At 46.9% G+C, this 15,785-nt stretch overlaps 1 protein-coding gene and 1 long non-coding RNA gene across 3 annotated transcripts in view; one reads left to right on the top strand and one right to left on the bottom strand.

Annotated features, from left to right (window-relative positions):
* The window catches only part of PARVB (parvin beta), a 173,729-nt gene that overhangs the window by 149,371 nt on the left and 8,573 nt on the right, over positions 1-15,785 (bottom strand). The window lies entirely within an intron of this gene.
* On the top strand, positions 794-4,671 carry LOC124905131 (uncharacterized). Its single transcript, XR_007068125.1, has 2 exons — positions 794-2,118; positions 3,451-4,671. It is a non-coding gene; the product is annotated as an uncharacterized LOC124905131 (long non-coding RNA).

Here is a 15,785-nt window from a genome sequence, read left to right as displayed (position 1 = left end):
TATTTTATTTTATTTTATTTTATTTTATTTTGTTTTGTTTTATTTTATTTTATTTTTTTAGACGTAGTCTTGCTTTGTTGCCCAGGCTGGAGTGCAGTGGCACAATCTCGGCTCACTGCAACCTCCACCTCCTGAGTTAAAGCGATTCTCCTGTCTCAGCCTCCTGAGTAGCTGGGATTACAGGTGCACGCCACCACGACCGGGTAATTTTTGTATTTTTAGTAGAGATGCGGTTTTGCCATGTTGGCCAGGCTGGTCTCGAACCCCTGACCTCAGGTGATCCGCCTGCCTCGGCCTCCCAAAGTGCTGGGATTATAGGTGTGAGCCACCATGCCCAGCCTAGATACCCAGGCAGGGCTTTGAGCTGTGATGTCACAGATGTTGCCTCTGGCTGATGGCTGCTCAGCAGGTGCTGGAGACAGAGAAGGCACAGGCAGGCGGACGGTGACTTAGGAGAAAAGCAAACAGATTTCTGAGATGCTCACAGCCAGAAGCCCCAGCCTTGAAGAAGTAGGAGGAGTAGGCCAGGTGCAGTGGCTCGCACCTGTAATCCCAACACTTTGGGAGGCCAAAGCAGGCAGATCACCTGAGGTCAAGAGTTCAAGACCAGCCTGGCCAACATGGTGAAACCCCATCTCTACTAAAAATACAAAAATTATCGGGGCATGGTGGTGGATGCCTGTAATCCCTGCTACTTGGGAGGCTGAGGCACAAGGATCGCTTGAACTCGGGAGGTGGAAGTTGCAGTGGGCAGAGATCATGCTACTGCACTCCAGCCTGGGTGACAGAGCGAGACTCTGTCTCCAAAAATAAAAAAAAAATAAAAAATAAAAAAAAAGAAGTAGGAGGAGTGAAGGCTGGGTGTCCTGCCAGGCCATGGTGGATCACTCAGCAGAGGACGGCACCTGGGGAGAAGTGGGTTCAGCTCTGGGTGTGTGGGTTGAGATGGTTTTTCTGTCTCCCTTTGTGCTGGCTGCCCCCCAGTCCCCCCAGTGCAGTACATGTTTCTGTTGGTCAAGTTGGTGCCAGGCCCAGTCCTCAGCCAGGGGCGTGAAGACCAAGGGCACAGAGCTTTGTCCTCCAGGAGTTTGTGGTCAAGGAGAACGTGGGCACAGGACACAGTGGCCGTGTAGCGTGGCCAGCATGGAGGAGGGACAGGGACCATGTGGATGGGGTGGGGGAGAAGTGCTGTGGGCAGAGGAGGCTTGCAGGGAAGGGACATTTGACCTGGAACAAGGATCAAATGCCCTTTTCCTTTCAGTAAAGGAGGAGAAGACCCACCAGGCAGAAGAGACAGGGAGAGGACACTGGGGTGTCTTGGGGCTGCCAGCACAAAGTTCCATGAGCTGGAGGGCTCAGAACAACAGAAACGTCTTCTCTCACAGTTTGGAGAGAAATAACAAGGTCTACGGGAATTATGAGGCAGGCACGGTGGAGGAAAACCAATTGATAAATATCATCATCTCACAAGGGTCTTTGCAGATGATCAAGTGAAGATGAAGTCACCAGAGTGGGCTGTAATCCAAGATGACCGTGTCCTTGTAATACCCCTGTGTACTGGGGATTAGGATTTCAGCAGGAGGCCAGAAATCCAAATCAAGGTGTAGGCTAGGTTCATTTCCATTTGGAGGCTGCACGGGCAAATCTGTTCCCTGCATCTCTCCAGGCTCCTGGGGTTTGCCAGCAAATCTTCCATGTTCCTCGGCCTGTAGAAGCATTGCCCCGTCTCTGCCTCCGTCTCTACTAGGCCCTGTGTGTGTGTGTGTGTGTGTGTGTGTGTGTGTGTGTGTGTGTGTGTGTGTGTGTGTGAGTCTAGACTTTACAGGGACACAGTCATGTTGGATTAGAGCCCATCCTGGTGATTCATCTTCACCTCATCATCTGCAAAGACCCTGTGAGATGATGATATTTATGCATTGGTTTTCCTCCACCATGCCTGGCTCATAATTCCCATCACCCTTGTTATTTCCTCAGTGACTATAGCAATAAGCAGATCTTTTGTTACAATATTTGTTCTTTTTTCCTTGGTTCCTGAAGCAGTGTGGAAACAGCTTCAGAGCAATAAAGGGGAACGATAGTCCTGTGTTATCATGTTGGATCTTTGGAAGCAGGCTTCAGGTGTAGTTTCTCTCTCTTTCTGACCTTCTTTCTCCTTCCCTCCTTTCACCTGCTCCTTTTTCTCCCCAAGTCAGGCCATAGAAAATGAAAATATACTTGAATCTTCCCCCACCTTTCCATCTTGGAGCTGGCCGTGGAGAAATTCTCTGACCTGCCTTGTCTGACTGAGGGTCACGGGACCCCCATTTCAGGAGGAGTCCAGCCTCCCGCCCAGGAGGAAGAAATGCTATACAGACAGGCCTTGCGGGGCTTCACCACTCTGACTGATGGTGTTGAGTCATACTGTTTTTGTCCAATCACACTTCGACATGGTTGTCCAGCTTCAATTGTGCTTAGCCAATGAAGGCTCCATAAAAACCCAAAAGGGGGGCCAGGCGTGGTGGCTCACGTCTATAATCCCAGCAGTTTGGGAGGCCAAGGTGGGTGGATCGCTTGAGGTCAGGAGTTGGAGGAGTCAGCCTGGCCAACATGGTGAAACCCCGTCACTACTAAAAATACAAAAATTAGCCAGGTATGGTGGTGCATGTCTGTAATCCCAGCTACTTGGGAGGCTGAGGCAGGAGAATCGCTTGAACCCAGGAGGTGGAGGTTGCAGTGAGCCGAGATCACGCCACTGCACTCCAGCCTGGTCGACAGAGTGAGACTCAGTCTCAAAAAAAAAAAAGAAAGGACAGAGTTGGAGAAGCTTCCAAATAGCTAAACACATGGAGGTTCCTGAGGGTGGTGCACCTGGGGAGGGCAAGGAAGCTTAATGCCCCTCCTCCATCCTTGCCCTACCAGTCTCTTCCTCTGGTGTTCATCAGAAGCCTTTGTAACACCCTTTGTAATCATCCAGAAAATGTCAGTGTTGCCCTGAGTTTTGTGAGCCACTCCAGCTAATCAAACCTGAGGGGGGTAAGAATCTCAATTTATAGCCAGTCAGAAGCACAGGCAGAACTAGCTGGGGCTTGTGACTGGCATCAGAAGTGGTGGCAGGTGGCTGGATGCAATGGCTCATGCCTGAGAGCCCAACACTATGGGAGACTGAGGCCAGAGAATCACTTGAGGCTAAGAATTCGAGACCAGCCTGGGCAATATGGCAAGACCCCCTCTGTACAAAATAAAAAATTAGCTGGGTGTAATGGCATATGCCTGGGGTCCCAGCTACTCAGGAGGCTGAGCTAGGAGGATCACTTGAGCCCAGGAGGTCGAGGTTGCAGTGAGCCATGATCATGCCACTGTACTCCAGCCTGGGCAACAGAGCCAGACCCTGCCTCAAAAAAAAAAAAAAAAAAGTGGTGACTGTCTTGTGGGACTGAGCCCTCACCCTGTGGGATCTTGTGCTGTCTGCAGATGGACCATGCTGGAATTGAACTGGACTGGGGGACACCCAGCTGGCGCCGCTGCAGAACTGAGTGCCGACTTGCTGGCGGGGAGAAATCCTCAGCCCGTTCATCACAGGAGTCACAGGAGTGTTGACACTTGTGGTGTGAGAGAAGAGGAAAGGCAGTTTGATTTTTCCATACAACCCTACCTCCAAATAATGTCCCAGTCACAGTACTGGGGATTAGGATTTCAGCATCTTTTGGGAGTGCTATGTATTGGATATTTGACTCCAAATATCTAAACCCCATATTGAAATTCAATCCCGTGTTGGGAGTCGGGCCTGATGGGGGGTGTGTGGGTCCTGGGGAGGATCCCTCATGGTTTTGTGCCATCCTCATAGTAATGAGTGAGTTTGCACTCTGTTAGCTCCCTTGAGAGCTGGCCGTCCCCCGCACTTTCTTGCTTCCTCTCTTGCCCTGTAATCTCTGTGCATGTGGCTCCATTGCTCCTTTTGCCAGGAGAAGCAGCCTGCGGCCCTCACCCGTGCAGATGCTGTGCCATGCTGCTTGTGCAGCCTGCAGAGCCGTGAGCGACAAAACCTCTTTTCTTTATTAATTACCAGCTTCAGCCGGGCACGGTGGCTCATGCCTGCAATCCCAGCACTTTGAGAGGCCGAGGCCAGCAGTCCACCTGATGTCAGCAGTTTGAGGCTAGACTGGCCAACATGGTGAAACCCTGTCTCTACTAAAAATACAAAAATTATCTGGGTGTCATGATGCATGCCTGTAATCCCAGCTACTCGGGAGGCTGAGGCAGGAGAATCACCTGAACCCGGCAGGCGGAGGTTGCAGTTAGCCAAGATCATGCCATTGCACTCCAGCCTGGGCAACAGAGAAAGACTCCATCTCAAAAATAAAAAAATAAAAATAGGCCAGGCGTGGTGGCTCACGCCTGTAATCCCAGCACTTTGGGAGGCCGAGGCGGGCAGATCACCTGAGGTCACAAGTTCGAGACCAGCCTGGCCAACATGGTGGAACCCTGTCTCTACTAAAAATACAAAAATTAGCCAGGTATGGTGGCAGGCGCCTATAATCCCAGCTACTGGGGAGGCTGAGGCAGGAGAATCGCTTGAACCTGGAGGTGGAGGTTGCAGTGAGCCAAGATCATGCCATTGCACTCCAGCCTGGGGGACAAGAGCGAGACTTTGTCTCTAAATAAATAAATAATAAAAATAAAAAATTAACCAGCTCCAGGCGTTCCTTTATAGCAATGCAAATGGACCAAGATGGGGGCAGCGCACGAGTCAACCATAACCATGGCAAGCCCGCCCATGTGGCCTGAGAATCTGGGTGAGGAGAACGGGGGCGATGGAAAGGACTGCCCTCCAGCACCCAGGTCAGGAGTCTGCACTTGATCTTGTGCAAGGAAGGAGGTGGCCATTGAGAGAACTGACCCAGTGTGGAGGACCAAGCGAGGAAACCCCAGAGCCAGAGACCAATTCGACAAAAGGGGTGCTGAGGCTACACACCCAGGCAGTGTCACATGGAAGTGGGGGACAAAGAGGAATGAACATTTGGAGTTGGGAGCCCCAAAACCTGGAGAATGACTGGATTCCAGGTTAGGGAAGTGAAGGGTGGAAGATCTCAGAGGGTTCTTACTCATGTGGCCTGCCTTGGATGTCACTAACCAGCAGGGAAGACACAGAAACATCGAGCATGTGGTTAGTTTTTTGTTTGTTTGTTTGAGATGGAGTTTCATTCTTGTCGCCCAGGCTGGAGTGCAATGGCAAGACCTCAGCTCACTGCAACCTCCGCCTCCTGGGTTCAGGTGATTCTCCTGCCTCAGCCTCCCAAGTAGCTGGGATTACAGATGCCCACCACCAAACCCAGCTAATTTTTGTAATTTTAGTAGAGACAGGGTTTCACCATGTTGGCCAGGCTGGTCTCAAACTCCTGACCTCAGGTGATCCACCCGCCTCAGCCTCCCAAAATGCTGGGAGTATAGGTGTGAGCCACTGTGCCTGGCCGAGATGTGGTTATTGACATCTCAGTGGGATTGTGACATAGCAGGGCTGAACAGAGATCCGGGTACTCTCTGTATCCTGGGGTGAGACTGTCATCTAGGGCAGGGGTCTCTGGCCTCTTTGAGAATCTGGTGCATGGGACAGACCCTCTAGTCTGGAGAAGCACACACAATGTCACATGTGTGACACGTGACATGCAACATCATTCTCAAACAATAGCCTGCTTTGGAAGGCCCCCCTGACACCCCTACTGCCCTTGGCACCCCACGGACCCCCAGTGAAGAGCCTCTAACCAGGAGAGAGCAAGGGGAGAAGAAACACCAACTGGGAGAGAAAATGGACAAGAGCCATCCTCATGGGGGATGTGAATGGGCAAAAGCCGAGGTCCAGAGGCTGAAGACACAGAGATGCATCTGTGGGGGGTCTGGTGAGTGCCCAGGAAATAATGGATTTTTGAAGCTTTCGTCAGTGGTTCCGGCTTGCCAGTGAACACACAGAATTTACAATTTTCATTTGGTTATTGCTAATTTGAACATGGCAGAGACAGTTTGAATATGCCATTACAGTGTGAAAGAACAGTGGCCCCACATTTCAAGCAGAACTAGTGACAACCAAGTGGTGCTTAATTGTAAGAGGAACTGTCTTGGGCTTTGCGTTACTGGAGGGTTCCTGGCATTTTATAGACCTAATTTGTATACAGATGGAATCCTATGTTAAATGCAAGCGTGGTACTCGCTACTAAGAAATCCCATGTAAATAGGGCCTTCTTGGTAAAGTTTATCATCGTTCACCTTTTGTATTCTCAGACCCAAAGCACTGCATTCATTCACTCAATTTTCCTTGCACCTCTTTGTCTAGAGACTAAGATGATTTATTTCTTATTTAACACTATGAAAAACTAATTTATGGTTAGGGTGGATTACCTCTCACATCTCAAATGGGGAAGGTGGCCAGGCACGGTGGCTCACACTTGTAATCCCAGCACTTTGGGAGGCTGAGGCAGGCAGATCACCAGAGGTCAGGAGTTCGAGACCAGCCTGGCCAACAGGGCGAAACCCCATCTCTACTAAAAATACAAAATTAGCTGGACATGGCAGTGCACACCTGTAATCCCAGCTACTCGGGAGGCTGAGGCAGAAGAATCACTTGAACCCAGGAGGCAGAGGTTGCAGTGAGCTAAGATCATGCCATTGTACTCCAGCCTGGGCAACAAGAGTGAAACTCCATCTCAAAAAAAATAAAATAAAATAAAATGGGGAAGTAAAAACAGCCACAGGTCGAACATCCCTAATGAAATGGTTCAAAATCTGAACATTTCTGAGCACTGACGTGATGCCAAAAGTGGAAAATTCCACACCTGACCTCACATGACAGGTTACAGTTGAAGCACCAGGCACATAACACACAGTTTATTCAGCAGCCCCAGGGGAAAAAAGACCCTTCCAGCCCCCTTCAGCTGTAATATCTCTTGTACATAAACTTTGTTTCACGCACAAAATTATTTAAAATATTGTATAAAATTACCTTCAGACTCTGTGTACAAGGTGTATATGAAACATAAGCGAATTTCATGTTTACACTTGGATAGGATGATGTGTTATTGAAGTGGCCTCATTTGTCTGGGGTGATACCCGAGATTCATTGTCTCACAGCCACAGAAAACTAAGACATGGACACACAGAGAGTGAGGTTTAGAGTGGAAGTTAATAGGTGAAAGAGAAGAGCTAGGCCAGGCACAGTGGCTCATGCCTGTAATCCCAGCACTTTGGGAGGCTGAGGCGGGCGGATCACGAAGTCAGGAGATCGAGACCATCCTGGCTAACACGGTGAAACCCCGTCTCTACTAAAAATACAAAAAATTAGCTGGGCCTGGTGGCAGGTGCCTGTAGTCCCAGCTACTCGGGAGGCTGAGGCAGGAGAATTGCGTAAACCTGGGAGGTGGAGCTTGCAGTGAGCCGAGATCACGCCACTGCACTCCAGCCTGGGCGACAGAGCGAGACTCCATCTCAAAAAAAAAAAAAAAGAAAGAAAGAAAGAAAAAGAAAAAGACAGAGAAGAGCTCTCTGCCCAGAGAGAAATCCCAAAAAAATGCGTTGTTGGTTCCATGGTGAAATGTCAGGGGATTTTACAGATTAGTTTGAGAAGGTGGTGTCTGATTTGCATAGGGCACAAACGATTGGTTGGGCCAGGTGTGCCATTTGTATAAGGCGTGAAAAACTGGTTAGAGCTAGGTGTATCATTTGTATAAGGTGTTAAAAGTTGGCTGTCTGCACCCTAATCTTTTTTTGTTTGTTTGTTTTTGTGAGACAGAGTTTTGCTCTTGTTGCCCAGACTAGAGTGCAGTGGCACAATCTTGGCTCACTGAAACCTCCGTCTCCTGGGTTCAAATGATTATCCTGCTTCAACCTCCCAAGTAGCTGGGACTACAGGTGTGCATCATCACCCACAGCTAATTTCTGTATTTTTAGTAGAGATGGGGTTTCACCATGTTGGCCAGGCTGGTCTCAAACTCCTGACCTCAGGTGATCTGCCCGCCCCAGCCTCCCAAAGTGCTGGGATTACAGGCATGAGTCACCGCGCCCAGCCCCAATCCTATGTATTATGTAGATGGATTCTCTGTCTGGCCAGTGTCATGTTGTTCGTTTCTTTATTGTATACGTGGTAACAACAGAAAAGGAAAGATGGAGTCTTCATGTTGGGTACGCCTGGCCCCAGGTAGCCCTTTTCTATTGGCACAGCTGTCTGCATTCACCCATGTAAGTTTTTAGCATGTTTATCTATGTTTGCAGCTTGATTTTTCAGGCTGCTCTTTGTTAGAAAAAAAATAATTTTGGGGGCTGCTTTTTATTAGAAGAGAGATCTTGTCAAGGACTCTTTCACCCTCACTATCTGTCTAAATAATTTCTTTCTATCTCCTGTATCATTATTAAATGCAGGTTAGAACTTTTTTTTTTTTTTAATTGCTGTGTCTGGGCCAGGCGCAGTGGCTCGCGCCTGTAATCCCAGCAGTTTGGGAGGCCAAGGCAGGCCAATCATTTGAGGCCAGGAGTTTCAGACCAGCCTGGCCAACATGGTGAAACCCCATCTCTACTAAAAATACAAAAATTAGCCAGGCATGGTGGCGGGCACCTACAATCCCAGCTACTCAGAATGCTGAGGGAGGAGAGTTGCTTGAACCCAGGGTGCGGAGGTTGCAGTGAGCTGAGATTGCACCACTTCACTCCAGCCTGTGCAACAGAGTGAGATTCCGTCTCAAAAAAAAAAAAAATTGTTGTGTCTGTTGTAATGATTTTTTTGTCTTGTATGTGCTACAGATGACAATCAAGAACTGGCTTGATGGCTGTGGACTAAGTTGTATTTCTTTTCAAGGTGAGAGGAAGGAAGGACAATGATCAAACCGGAAAAACTTTCCTCCTTCCTGGCCTGGCTCCTGTGGAGTTTACATAACTAGCTTTCTCTCTGGGGTAATCTCACTAAAACTACTTTCCAAATTGCTTTGCAGAGCAGCAAACATAAATATTAACTTCAAGATTGGAAAGTGCCACTTTCTAATAAAAAGAGAGAATTTAATGAGATGCAGAAATATGAACTTAGCTCCTTCTCCATCAATGCCGTCTTTGCTTCTTAATATGCTCCCCACATATGCCTCGTGCCAGGGCTATGCATACATTGTACACTTGGAGAATGATTATGAAAATCAGATTACATGCAGCTGCCCCTATTAAAGAAAACCATTTGGTTTGCTTTTGAACTGTGGCTTCTGAAGAGGCCAGTTCCATATAATCTTAATTAAGGACAAGGAGGAAACATTTCCTGAGCTGGTGCTGCATGCACTCTGTGCCCCATGCTGGGGGCTGCACTGTGTGATCTCAGTCAACCTCCCTTACCCACACTCTTGCCTTGGAGAATCTGGGCCTGCAGAAAGAGGGACCTGAGTCCAGTGTGTTTGAACAAACGGAAACATTGTTCCTCTGTGTATAGTACCCAAACACAGGACCCTTGAACAATACATGCTGGAACTGTGCAGGTCCACTTACATGTGGATCTTTTTCTCTTCTTTTCTTTTTCAAACAGAGATGGAGGTCTTGCTATGTTGCCCAGGTTGGTCTTAAACTGCTGGCCTCAAGCTATCCACCCACATTAGCCTCCCAGAGTGCTGAGAAAAATCTTTTTCAATAGAAGTTACACCGAGCCAGGCATGGTGGCTTACACCTGTAATCCCAGCACGTTGGGAGGCCGAGGTGGGCAGATCACTTGAGGTCAGGAGTTCGAGAGCAGCCTGGCCAACATGGCGAAACCCTGTCTCTACCAAAAATACAAAAATTAGCTGAGCATGGTGGCGGGCACCTGTAATCCCAGCTACTCAGGAGGCTGAGGCAGGAGAATCGCTTGAACCCAGGAGGTGGAGGTTGCAGTGAGCCGAGATCGCACCACTGCACTCCAGCCTGGGAGACAGAGTGAGACTCCATCCAGAAAAAAAAAGAACAATGTAGTGTATCTCCAAAACATTATGTTGAATGAAAGAGGCCAGACAGATGCAAAAGAGCACAGACTGCGTGAATCCACTTATTTGAAGTTCAAGAGCAGGCGACCTCTGTTCTGTGTTGATAGTGGCTTCGCCGGCGTGGTGAGGGGCACTGAGGATCTCCCCTGCATATGGGCACCAGCAGGCTGGCTGGGTGATGTGCAGCCTGATCTGGTGGTAGTCACACAGTGTACACAAACGTGAAAAGTCAACAGACGTTCCACTGAAACGTGTGCATTTCCCTCTATATAAATTAGACCACAATAAATTCTTGGGGAAAAGAAAGTCAATACGTGATACCCCTGGATGGGATAATTTGGATTCTTTACATGTGTGAGTTTCCTTCTGGATAACATGGCAGCACTCTAAGTGCTTAAAGAGGGTCTTAAAAGCTGCAAGCGGTCAGGCACGGTGACTCACGCCTGTAATCCCAGCACTTTGGGAGGCCGAGGCAGACGGATCACCTGAAGTCAAGAGTTTGAGATCAGCCTGGCCAACGTGGTGAAACCTTTATCTACTAAAACTACAAAAAAATTAACCGGGCGTGGTGGTGCGTGCCTGTAGTCTTAGCTACTTGGGAGGCTGAGGCACGAGAATCGCCTGAACCCGGGAGGTGGAGGTTGCAGTAAGCTGACATCGCGCAACTGCACTCCAGCCTGGGTGACAGAGCGAGACTGTCTCAAAAAAGTTAAAAAAAAAAAAAGTTAAATAAATAAAGCTTGTCAGCTTTCTTTCACTTCTCTTTAATAGAACTAAAAAGAAGCTGATATTTCTCAAAATAAATAAATAAATAAAAACCGCCTGTAGCTCTTTGGGAGAGAAAAGGGAACTCATTCCAGGGAATACTTAAGACTGTGAAATGTCTTCTTGTGTTGTTCATTTTCAGACCTCCAAGCAATTTTAGGCGAGTTAGAAGTGTGTAGAGAAGTGATGGAAATATTTAATTGATGTGCGATGGAGAAAATGCCTTATTTCCCCCAGGTTATACTTTTGAGGCAATCTTACTGCACTTTGGGGTAGGGTTTTCAAGCACGCTGTAACCATAATATCTAAACTAGCATTTTGAAATGGTGTTATTTAATCAGTCTGCTAATTTAGTGATCTGGCAAGAGAGTAACCTGCGATGTTCACAGTAAATACTAAGAGCAGGAGGAGATGACCAGACTTGCCTAGAATTTTAAAACTGTGATGGAAACACTTCTGCCCATGCCACGTGTGAGCAGAACATGAATCACCAACTACACTGATCAACCGTCTTTCACTCAAATGATTTTGGAAGCATCAGCAAACTCTGAGACAAGGGAAGTTGGATTTTCATTTATTAGCAATTCCTCCGAGTTCTCTTTTTGCATACCAGGCAGAGTAAACCACATATGCGTTTTGTTCCCTTAAATATTTTATAGATGAAGAAGGAATAAATAACATGGTACCAAGTTATTGGTTCCTAGTCTTCCATGGGGGAAAACTGGGAAAGTCCCCCAAAGATTATGCCCCCTTTAAAAAAAGACTCCCCTCTGACCAGCTATGAGAAAATGGGGGATGAGCAAGCTCCTTGAAACATGCCAGGACCTCTTAGGTGGGTGGGAGAACAAAGGCCAAGTCTATTAGACATTCACACCTTAGTCTGAATTTCTTTTGCCATTCATTTGCCATCCAGGTATCACCTGCTTGCAAAATGAAAGGTTTTTATTTTCTCCTCCCACCCAATTTGAGAGCAGTGAGGGGATGAGAGTGGTGTTTTGGATGAAGGAGAGAATGATGACGGGGGTAGGGGAGAACTGAAGTGTAGGGCTTTGTGGGAGGGAACTTGCTCTACGATGCTGGAGCTAAGGATGTGGCGGCCATAGCACATCATGAGAACATTGCTGTGGCCAGGGAAGACACAGTGGTCTACGGCAGGGGTGTGTAAGGGGCCAGACAGACTCTGATGCAAGGACTCAATTTTTTAAATTTTATTTATTTATTTATTTACTGAGACAGCATCTCACTCTGTCACCCAGGCTGGAGGGCAGTGGTGTGATCTTGGCTCACTGCAACCTCTGCCTCCCAGGTTCAAGCACCAGCAGGCTTACAATGTTCTTGCCTCAGCCTCCCGAGCAGCTGGGATTACAGGCATGCACCACCACGCCTGGCTAACTTTTGTATAAAGTAGAGACAGGGTTTCATCATGTTGGCCAGGCTGGTCTCAAACGCCTGACCTCAAGTGATCCACCTGCCTCAGCCTCCCAAAGTGCTGGGATTATAGGCGTGAGCCGCCGTGCCTGGCTACAAGGACCCAATTTTGCTATTGTAGCTTGAAAGCAGCCACAGATGATGTGTAAGCAGGCCAGGTGCGTGCAGCTCCCACCTTCATCCCAGGGCTTTGGGAGGCTGAGGCAGGAGGATCACTTGAGCCCTGGAGTTCGAGAACAACCTGGGCAACACAGCAAGAGTCCATCTCTATGAAAAATATTTTTAAAAAATTAGTCAGGCATGGCCGGGCGCAGTGGCTCACGCCTGTAATCGCAGCACTTTGGGAGGCCGAGGCGGGAGGATCACGAGGTCAGGAGATCGAGACCATCCTGGCTAACACAGTGAAACCCTGTCTCTGAGGCAGGAGAATGACGTGAACCCAGGAGGCAGAGATGACAGTGAGCTGAGATTGCGCCACTGCACTCTAGCCTGGGCGACAGAGCGAGACTCCATCTCAAAAAAAAAAAAAAAAAAAATAGGCATGGTGCCTAATTCCAATAAAACTTTTTTTTAAGAACACAGAAATGTGAATTTCACATAATTTTCATATGTCGTAAAATTTTTGATTTTTTTGGTCCCAAACATTTAAAACGTAAACTCATCCTTCACTCGCAGGCCATACAAAATCAGATACTATGCAGATTCGGGAGCAGAGAGCAACCAAAATTCAATTCATTTACTGCACATTTTACCTGAAAGTCCTAATAGTGGTGATGCTGATGGTACCACCAAAAACCGATGTTTGAAAACAACAGTGATTCAGATTCTGTTGTTCTGAACTCTAAGGGAGCTTCATTAGGAATGCATCAGCACAGTACTTCCAAAAGTGCGTCAGTAACAACTCCACTTCTCATCATTTATTCCATGAAAGTTTCTGCACAATTATACAAAGGTATGAGCACACTGCAGGACTGCTTGTCATATAGGGGAATGGGGATCACCTAAATGTGCCTGTTTGATTACACAAATTATAGGACAGTGCAGCCGCCCCAGGGAACATTATGAGACACCCTGGCAGGGGAAAGGGCAGAGTGATCTTAGTGGGACGTGGTGCCATTCATCACATGGGGTTAAGCAGAAAAGCAACTTGTGCTTTCTCCTTTGCACACTCATGGATTCATTCATTCCACAAATACTGAGTGCCAGTTTATGTGTGATTCCAGGCCGTGGGGTGCACTCGTGAACAAAATGAACAAGACCTCCTCTGCGGAGCTTACATTCTAATGGGAATTACATTTGCAATTTTAAAGATTCATATGGGGACGGGCGCAGTGGCTCATGCCTGTAATTCCAGCACATTGGGAGGCCGAGGAGGGTGGATCACGAGGTCAGAAGTTCAAGATCAGCCTGGCCAAGATGGTGAAACCCTGTCTCTACTAAAAATACAAAAAATTAGCTGGGCGTGGAGGTGGGCACCTGTAATCCCAGCTACTCGAGAGGCTGAGGCAGAGAATTGCTTGAACCCAGGAGGCAGAGGTTGCAGTGAGCTGAGATCACGCCGCCGCACTCCAGCCTCAGTGACAGAGAAAAACTCCGTCTCAAAAAAAAAAAAAAAAAGATTCATATGCACACATGTGTATGCATATATGAGCATATATATGTGTATATATAGGTTTTTACATATATAATGTTTATTATATAAAAGAGGGTTTTTAAAGGGTTAAATAATGGTTTATATATTAACAAGAGAGTTTATATAATAGGTTTTAAAACCTATTTTATATATATGTAATAAACATATTACATATATCACATATATTATATATTACATACATATGTGTGTATATATATAGGTTTTTACATATATATATAAACCTTTATGGCAGAATGCCACTTTACCTTAATACTTTGTCAATGGGGAATTGCTGATTTGAACTCTGCCTTTGTATCTGTCCGTACAAAAAAATAACAAGTTGATGTTATTTAGAGCAAATAGAACTGATTTCAAAACTGATTTCAAAACTGATTAGAATACATTTTGATTGAGAAAATGAATACTCAGACAGGCATTATCATCAGTTAAAAACTCAGTCTGACATAAAAGTGATAGAAACTTTCATGGGTTTGGGTTTGCAACTTGTATGTTAAAATCTGTCCCATGCTCATCCACATAGCATACCTACTGTAGCTCATTACCAATTGAGATCAGAGGTCTGAACAGCTGTAAGCAAATTATCCTCTTAAATCAGGAAAATATTAAAATGTAAAGCTCAATTCTGTGTGCTAAATTATCTTAAGACAGTCAAAATTTCAAATTCGCAAGGAAATCAGTAAAAGGGAAGGCATGAAAAGACTATTCAAACATCACTGCTACTTAAATACTATAATGAGCTTTTAAAATATGGAGCTTTATTTATTTATTTACTTATTTATTTTTAAGATGGAGTCTCGTTCTGTCGCCCAGGCTGGAGCACAGTGGTGCGATCTCGGCTCACTGCAAGCTCTGCCTCCCGGGTTCACGCCATTCTCCTGCCTCAGCCTCCCGAGTAGCTGGGACTACAGGCACCCACCCCCACACCCAGCTAATTTTTTTTTTGTACTTTTAGTAGAGATGGGGTTTCCTCGTGTTAGCCATGATGATCTCGATTTCCTGACCTCGTGATCCGCCTGCCTCGGCCTCTCAAAGCGCTGGGATTACAGGCATAAGCCACCATGCCCAGCCTGTCATCTCTATTTTTATAAGCAAGCAAGAAAGACAGGCAGGTTGTGGCAGCACTCTTGGATCCGTGTCCTCAGAGTGGCAGACCCAAGCATCTATCTCTAATACAGTCTGAGTGTTATCAAAGTCAGCCAAAGTATGCTGCAAAAGATAAATACTTTTCTATAACTAAATGGTATGGTTTTCTCAAAATCTAAAAGAAAAATGCAAAATGAATCTTTTTTTCTCAGAAGCATGCTTTCCTTGCACATAGTAGGCATCCAGGTATATTCACTCAATCATAAAATCCTGTCTCTAGACCGCGCGTGGTGGCTCACGCCTGAAATCCCAGCATGCTGGGAGGTTGAGGTGGGTGGATCACTTGAGGTCAAGAGTTTGAGACCAACCTGGCCAACATGTGAAACCCCATCTCTACTAAAATACAAAAATCAGTTGGGCGTGGTGATGCGCGCCTGTAATCCCAGCTACTCGGAGGCGGGCGGGGGTGCTAAGGCAGGAGAATTGCTTGAACCTGGGAGGCGGAGGTTGCAGTGAGCCGAGATCATGCAACTGTGCTCCAGCCTGGGTGACAGAGCAAGACTCTGTCTCAAAAACAAAACAACAACAACAACAAAAAAAACCTGTCTCTAAAGGTAGAAACAACCCAAACGTCCACTGACACATGAAGGGATAAAGAAAATGTGGTGTATGCATGCGTATATACATGAAATTCTGACTCAGCCTACAACGCAGATGAACTTTGAGGACATGATGCTAGTGTGATATGCCAGTCACAAAAGGACACATACTGTATGATCCTGCTTAGATGAGGCACCTAGAGGAGTCAAATTAATAGCGACAGGAAGTAGAACAGTGGCTGCAGGGGCTGGGAAGGACCGAATTGGGAGTGAGTGCCTAATGGGTGCAGGTTCAGCTTCGGAATG

This window comes from Homo sapiens, chromosome 22, assembly GCF_000001405.40.
Source record: "Homo sapiens chromosome 22, GRCh38.p14 Primary Assembly".
Lineage (NCBI taxonomy): Eukaryota > Metazoa > Chordata > Mammalia > Primates > Hominidae > Homo > Homo sapiens.
Note: the sequence above shows the minus strand (reverse complement) of the source record. Positions and strands in the feature narration are given on the sequence as shown.